Source organism: Homo sapiens, chromosome 11, assembly GCF_000001405.40.
Source record: "Homo sapiens chromosome 11, GRCh38.p14 Primary Assembly".
Classification (NCBI taxonomy): domain Eukaryota; kingdom Metazoa; phylum Chordata; class Mammalia; order Primates; family Hominidae; genus Homo; species Homo sapiens.
In genome coordinates, this window is record NC_000011.10 from 49,951,848 (window position 1) to 49,959,261 (window position 7,414).

The 7,414-nt window shown below is 36.7% G+C and overlaps 1 protein-coding gene across 1 annotated transcript; it reads left to right on the forward strand.

Annotated features, from left to right (window-relative positions):
- The first annotated feature begins 543 nt into the window (after positions 1–543).
- On the forward strand, positions 544–1,572 carry OR4C13 (olfactory receptor family 4 subfamily C member 13). Its single transcript, NM_001001955.2, has one exon. It carries the CDS (start codon positions 576–578, stop codon positions 1,503–1,505), a length of 930 nt encoding a protein of 309 aa, NP_001001955.2. The 5' UTR covers positions 544–575; the 3' UTR covers positions 1,506–1,572.
- The last annotated feature ends 5,842 nt before the right edge of the window (positions 1,573–7,414 follow it).

Genomic DNA, 7,414 nt, shown 5'->3' on the forward strand with positions numbered 1-7,414 from the left:
TAGTCTGCTAAGTTCCATTATCTGGCTTCCAGCTCCTTACTGGATCTCAGCCCACATCATAAAAAACACACAAAGACCTTCACTAGAGAAATATCCCAAGAATCCCCCTTCTTCAGATTCCTCTTTATCATTTCACTCATATTGTGCATGACATTTCACATTTCATTATTTTCTAAAAAAAAAAAAGAGAGAGAGCAAATTTTGAGCTTTGCATTCATATGCTTTACATCTATATTCTATAATCTTTTCAGGCTTAGTTGCCACTATGTGTGCAATCATTCAACTTTCAGTCATTTCAGATGATTAAGTGTTCACAGATGGTCTCCTGCCTGTGTGCTACAAAAGTTTCTCATGTCAAAACTCTCAGCACAGTCTTCACCAGGGAGGCAATTTGAGTAAACCTCCAAAACTCAAAACTTTTTCCTATCTCAGAAAAGATCCTCAAATCACAACCCAGTAGAATCCAAGAATTTATTATATTACATATTACAGTGGAGAAGTTTAACAAATTTAAAGATGTATTAATAAAAATTGTTTTCTTTTCAGGTAATGTAATTAACCATCATTTGAAATACATGGCGAATAGAAACAATGTGACAGAGTTTATTCTATTGGGGCTTACAGAGAATCCAAAAATGCAGAAAATCATATTTGTTGTGTTTTCTGTCATCTACATCAACGCCATGATAGGAAATGTGCTCATTGTGGTCACCATCACTGCCAGCCCATCACTGAGATCCCCCATGTACTTTTTCCTGGCCTATCTCTCCTTTATTGATGCCTGCTATTCCTCTGTCAATACCCCTAAGCTGATCACAGATTCACTCTATGAAAACAAGACTATCTTATTCAATGGATGTATGACTCAAGTCTTTGGAGAACATTTTTTCAGAGGTGTTGAGGTCATCCTACTTACTGTAATGGCCTATGACCACTATGTGGCCATCTGCAAGCCCTTGCACTATACCACCGTCATGAAGCAGCATGTTTGTAGCCTGCTAGTGGGAGTGTCATGGGTAGGAGGCTTTCTTCATGCAACCATACAGATCCTCTTCATCTGTCAATTACCTTTCTGTGGTCCTAATGTCATAGATCACTTTATGTGTGATCTCTACACTTTGATCAATCTTGCCTGCACTAATACCCACACTCTAGGACTCTTCATTGCTGCCAACAGTGGGTTCATATGCCTGTTAAACTGTCTCTTGCTCCTGGTCTCCTGCGTGGTCATACTGTACTCCTTAAAGACCCACAGCTTAGAGGCAAGGCACGAAGCCCTCTCTACCTGTGTCTCCCACATCACAGTTGTCATCTTATCCTTTATACCCTGCATATTTGTGTACATGAGACCTCCAGCTACTTTACCCATTGATAAAGCAGTTGCTGTATTCTACACTATGATAACTTCTATGTTAAACCCCTTAATCTACACCTTGAGGAATGCTCAAATGAAAAATGCCATTAGGAAATTGTGTAGTAGGAAAGCTATTTCAAGTGTCAAATAAATGTGACTGGAGCCCAACATGATTCAGCTGAGGCAAGGGTCAAAAGGACATTTTGGGTAATGCCAGCAAGGAATACTTATTTGATAAATAAAATAATTAACCACTGTGATCCATAGATGATGCCTTGAGGGGAGTCAAAATGGGTTCAGGAAAAAGGAGAAAACCTAACCATGTATCATTCTCACAAACTGGGAAAATTCTACCGATTCGGGGCTTAGTTTCACTAGCTTCATCCATATATATGAAACTCATAGGCCTTCCTTCTAATAAATGTAAAATAAGTAATAAAATAAATATATCTATATTAAGTAATAATGTCCATAACAAACTGAGGGAGGCATTATTCTTATCCCCATTTACCAAAGAGGAAACTGAGAGAAGGGGACAGTGTTAAAATAGAAATATAAAATAGACAGTAACCAGAATCTCACTGATTTCCCAAACCATATGCTTAACTACCATGATACCCTGCCAAGCAATGATGATAGAAATATCAGATCATGATAACAGCTATCATTTATTGAGACAAGGACTAGCTGGACACATTGTATATGTTAGTTCATTAAAAATATAAGTTTTTCATTAATAATTGTTTCATTTTTATATATCAAAACTGATGGCCATTGTTTTCTGAAATATTATGCTATCTAACTACTTCAGGGCTATAAAAGCAAAAATCTATTTAGCATCTGATGGGTAAACAATGAAGTTTATACCATGATTTCAAATGTCCTTGTAGGCTTCAGAACCATTTTCTATTATTCATGTTACCCTTTTTATACTGATAATCGACCAGAAAGAGTGATGGTTCAAATAAAGATGTTTTGATATCAAGGAGAAATTTCTATTTATTGAATATACAGTTATAATCCATAAAGTACTTGCCCGATAGATAACAATAGTTCCTACAAGGTACCACGTCTGGTATACCATAAACAGAATCAATGAATAAAAGGATTAATGAAAATGAATAAATTCAATAAAATATAAAGCAAAAGTAGTAGTGGAGGCTAGGAAAGTATTTTCTACCTTCAGACTAAGAATTCTGGTTGGAACTCATAGGGAAATCACATTTTTTCACTCTTATTGAAACAATGAGAAAGAAATTGAAACTGCATTCTCAGCATATGAACATATAGTTTATCTTGATATTTTTCCTACCCCCAGTAAAATTGTATTATCTTATGTATATGGGCTGTTTATATTTTTCTATTAATCAGTTTGCTTTTTGGTAACATTTTCATATTAAAAGCTGTTTCATTTGTTTTTTGTTTTTGAGACGGAGTCGCTCTCTGTTGCCAGGCTGGAGCACAGTGGCACGATCTTGGCTCACTGCAACCTCCGCCTCCCGGGTTCAAGTGATTCTCCTGTCTCAGCCTAGTGAGCAGCTGGGACTACAGGCACCTGCCACCATGCCTGGCTAGTACAGATGGGGTTTCACCATGTTGGCCAGGATGGTCTTGATCTCCTGACATCATGATCTGCCAACCTTAGCCTCCCAAAATGCTGGATTACAGGTGTGAGCCACCACACCCAGTCTAAAAGCTGTTTTTCAAATTATATAGCTACACACAAAGCAATTTCAGAATAACTGTATTCCACTTATTCCTTGCATGCTTTATTCCTTAATCAACAAATACTTTTTATCCCCAGGAATGTATCAGGCACATTGATAGTTCCTGGGGCTTAGTGGTGAATAAAGAGAAACCAGGGTCCTCTTTTCACAAAAGTTAGGATACTCTGAGACACTTCAAGAAGAGAACAGAGAATTACAACCTAATACTATAAATAGTAAGATCATGGAATTACAGAGTGCTGTGAAAGCATGTTAGAAGGACACACAACAAAGACCTAGGAGATCTAAAAAGGATTCCTAGATGAAAAGACATCAAAAACAGAAGCTGACCAGGCACAGTGGCTCACGCCTGTAATCACAGCACTTTGGGAGGCCAAGGAGGGTGGATTACTTGAGGTCAAGAGCTCTAGACCAGCCTGGCCAACATGGAGAAACGCTGTTTCTACTAAAAATACAAAAATTAGCTGGGCGTGGTGGCGCATGTCTGTAGTCCCAACTACTTGGGAGGCTGAGGCAGAAGAATCACCTGAACCCAGGAGGCAGAGGTTTCAGTGAACCAAGATCTCGCCACTGCACTCCAGCCTGGCTGACGGAACAAGACTCTGTCTCAAAAAAGAAAAAGAAAGAAAGAAAAAAAAAAAAAACAGAAGCCAAAGGGAGAAAAAGAGTCCGCAGAATGAGTAGGCACAAGGTTGAGCTAAGAGTGCATCTATGAGAGGAAATAAGTAACAAAGGCCAGAAGGTGAGAAACAATCAGCAGGAAACCCAAACAATTCACTATCACTGTAATTATCAATTTATCTATTAATTCAACAATTATTTATTGAACCCCCATTGTGTGCTGGTGTAGGATACCGAGATTGTAAAAGGGAAAATACAAGACATGGAGCTGTAAAGTAGGATCTTGGTAAGATCAAAAAGGGTCTCATAATTCTGTTAAAACTAAATACTAAGTACCATGGAGAAAATAGTGAAAGTACTTTTAAACTAGCAAGAAATGTAGTTGGATTTGTTTTGGGAAGGATAACTCTAGCTACAGTATGGAAAATGGATTGAAGGGTCAAGCCTCCAAAGAGAAGAGCAACCAGGAGGTAATTATAATGATTTAAGTGTGAATAAATGGGGGTCTGAACTTTGGTGACTCCCAAGAGATGCCGAGTGTTAGGGACACTGTTGCATCCAGCTCAAATGCCTTTTGCCTGGTAAGTGAACTCATGCCCCACCTGCTGTGTCTGGGCTGCTAACAGCTCACAGCCCCACCCTTCCCTGGACAATTGCACCACAGAAAATGGGAGGTGCCACACTCAGAAGATTATGCCCACTGTCAAGGCCCAGCAGTGGCCAATGACTAACAGACACGAAAGTTTAAAAGGTTGTTGTATAATACGATGTATCCTCCAGAGCTTCAATGGCTCCAGACTCAAGGCAGACTTCAATTGAGACCACATCTGAAGCCTGACATCTGAAGCCTGACTCCAGTTGAGATCATGTCCTTTCTTCCCTCTACCATAGTTAGCTTCCCTCAAACTCTTCTCCTTATAAATCACTTTTGTAAAAATTCTCAATCTCAGATCTGCATCTAAGAAACCCAAACTAACACAGAGTAATAGAGACAGTTTAAGATACATTAATGAATTTTAAGGAAAATAACTTGATATAGGATGAAGATTAGAGAGAAAAGAGTCATGGATGAAACTATGTTTCTGCTTCAGAAGGAGGATACTCAGAAGATTGAACAGAGAAAAGATAAGCCTACTTTGCCAGCGGAAGAGGCCTCCCCACCTCGAGTAGAGCCTTTCCTTCACCCTTAGCAGAAGAAACCTCTTCACCCCTACTGAAGGTTTAACCTTGCATTGCCTGAGGAAATTATATGTCCTTCCCTGAAGCAGTTCCCCAGCAAAACAATGTTGATTTCCCTCAAGACCCATCTTCATCATCCCTCTTTGCTTCTAGACCTATAACTAGACTCAAGTTTAAACTCAACTGTGAAAGGTTTATCTGTGGCATTGCAGATGGCATCTGAACTCACTCCCAGAAGATGATAAACGTTAACTTCAGAACAAATCAAGAAAACTTTATTTGAATGCAAATAAAGCAATGTTCTTCCCTAAAAAGTCATCAGTTTATCACACAGTTTCAGTCAGGTTAGCTGAAGGTGTATTAGTAAGGGAGTGGGGAAAGAGAAAACAAATGTAGGATTATTCTACTTATCTCTAAGTGCTCATGGAATGTACACCACAATAGAAAATACACTGGGCCACAGTACAAGATGCAATACATTTCAAAGGACTAAACCATACAGAACACATATCTGATAATAGTAAGCTTCAACTAAAAATTTATAACAAAAGTATAACTAAACATCCCCCAATTATTTACAAATCAAGCAACACAATTCTAAATTATTCATATATTAAAGAAGTGCCAATGAAAAATTTTTAATGAATTTTAACTTAAAGGTGGTAAAAACAAACAAAAAAAAATACTAGATGCAGCTAAAGAATTGCTCAGAGAGAAATATATAGCTTTAAATGCAAGTACTAGAAAATAAAAAAGATTAAAGGAAATGAACTAAGCTTTCATCTCCAGAAGCTAGAAATAGTAGAGCAAAATAAATGCATAAAACATGGTATAATATGAACAGTAAGTAGAAGACAGATATACTTGAAATAAAATTAATTTAAAAATAGAGAAAATACATAAAGACTAGGGTTGATTTTGTGTAAAAATTAATAAAACTCATGTCCTTAGCAAAATTGGTTTTAAAATATAAGGAAAAAAAATTATGAGAATCAGCAGTGAAAAGGCTATGCTGTAGATTAACAAGATAATAAAAGGCCATTACAAATGAATTTTGCTAATGTCCTTGCCAGTTTAAAAGAAATGGACCTCTGCTTTGAAAAACACAGCTTTCTATTTTTTGTCATTCAAAAATGTCTGTAAAAACAATATTTCGATTGAATAAAGGAAATATATGCATCCTCCATATGCAAAGAGTCTTACAAGTTAATTACAAATCATTCAGCTACAAAATGGGCAAAGGAAAAGAACAATTTCCAAAAGAAGAATGAATGGTCAATAAATGTATGAAAAAATTTCAACTTCATTAGTAACTGGAGAAATGCAAATTTAAAACATTTGTACTAAGCAACTTTTAATTTTTATTAACAAATAATAATTGTACATATTTATGGGGTAAATAGTGACATTTTGATACATATAATGTATAGTGATTAATTCAGGGTAATTAGCATATCCATTATCTCAGACATTTATCATTTCTTTGGAAAAACACAACTTTCTAAACACACACACACACACACGCACACACACACAAGCAAAACCTGAATAACATACATGTGCTAAATTCACACTTGAAAAATTTTCCCCTGACTTCTCCCAAAAATACCAAGATTATATCCCTGTAGCTTTATCAGTGAATTCTACATATCACTTTTAAAAAATACTACCAATTTTATATCAACATTTTCAGGGATTAGAGAAAATGAAAAAGGGCATTACAAGAAAAAATATCAGATAAATATCTCTCATTAACACAGTCACAAAAATTCTGAACCCAATATTTAGCAAATAAAATACAGCCATATATAAAAATAATAATGTATCACGAGCAAGTAAGTTTTGTCCCAGGAATGAAATGTTGATTTCACATTCAAAATCAATTCATGGCCACATGCAGTGGCTCACACCTGTAATCCCAGCACTTTGGGAGGCTGAGGTGGGCAGATCGCTTGATCTCAGGAGTTCAAGACCAGCTGGGGCAAATATTGAGAACCCCATCTATACCAAAAAATTTTTAATTACCCGGGTGTGGCGGCATGCACCATAGTTCCAGCTACTTGGTAGGCTGAGGTGGGAGGATCGCTTGAGCCCAGGAAGTTAAGGCTGCAGTGATTGGTGATTGTGTCACTGCCCTCCAGCCTGGGCAACTGAGTGAGACCTTGTCTCAAAAAAAAAAAAAAAAATCAATTCATATAATTCACTGCATGAACAAAATTAAGTAGAAAAAAATATGATCAATTCAATAAATAGAGAAAAAACTTGATAGGATTTAACATATGTTCATGATTTTTAAAAAGTTTAAGAAAACTAGGAATAGAACTTCCTCAGTAGGATAAAGCCTATTAACAAACACCCTACAGCCAACATCGTTCTTAATGAGAAAATACTAAAAACTTTCTCTGGGAGTCAGGAACAATGCAAAACTATCCATTATAATTACATATATTCCACATTGTGCTGGAGAATCTAACCAGTGCAATAAGGCAAAGAAAAGAAATAAGTGCCATTGATAAAAATGACTAGGAAAAAT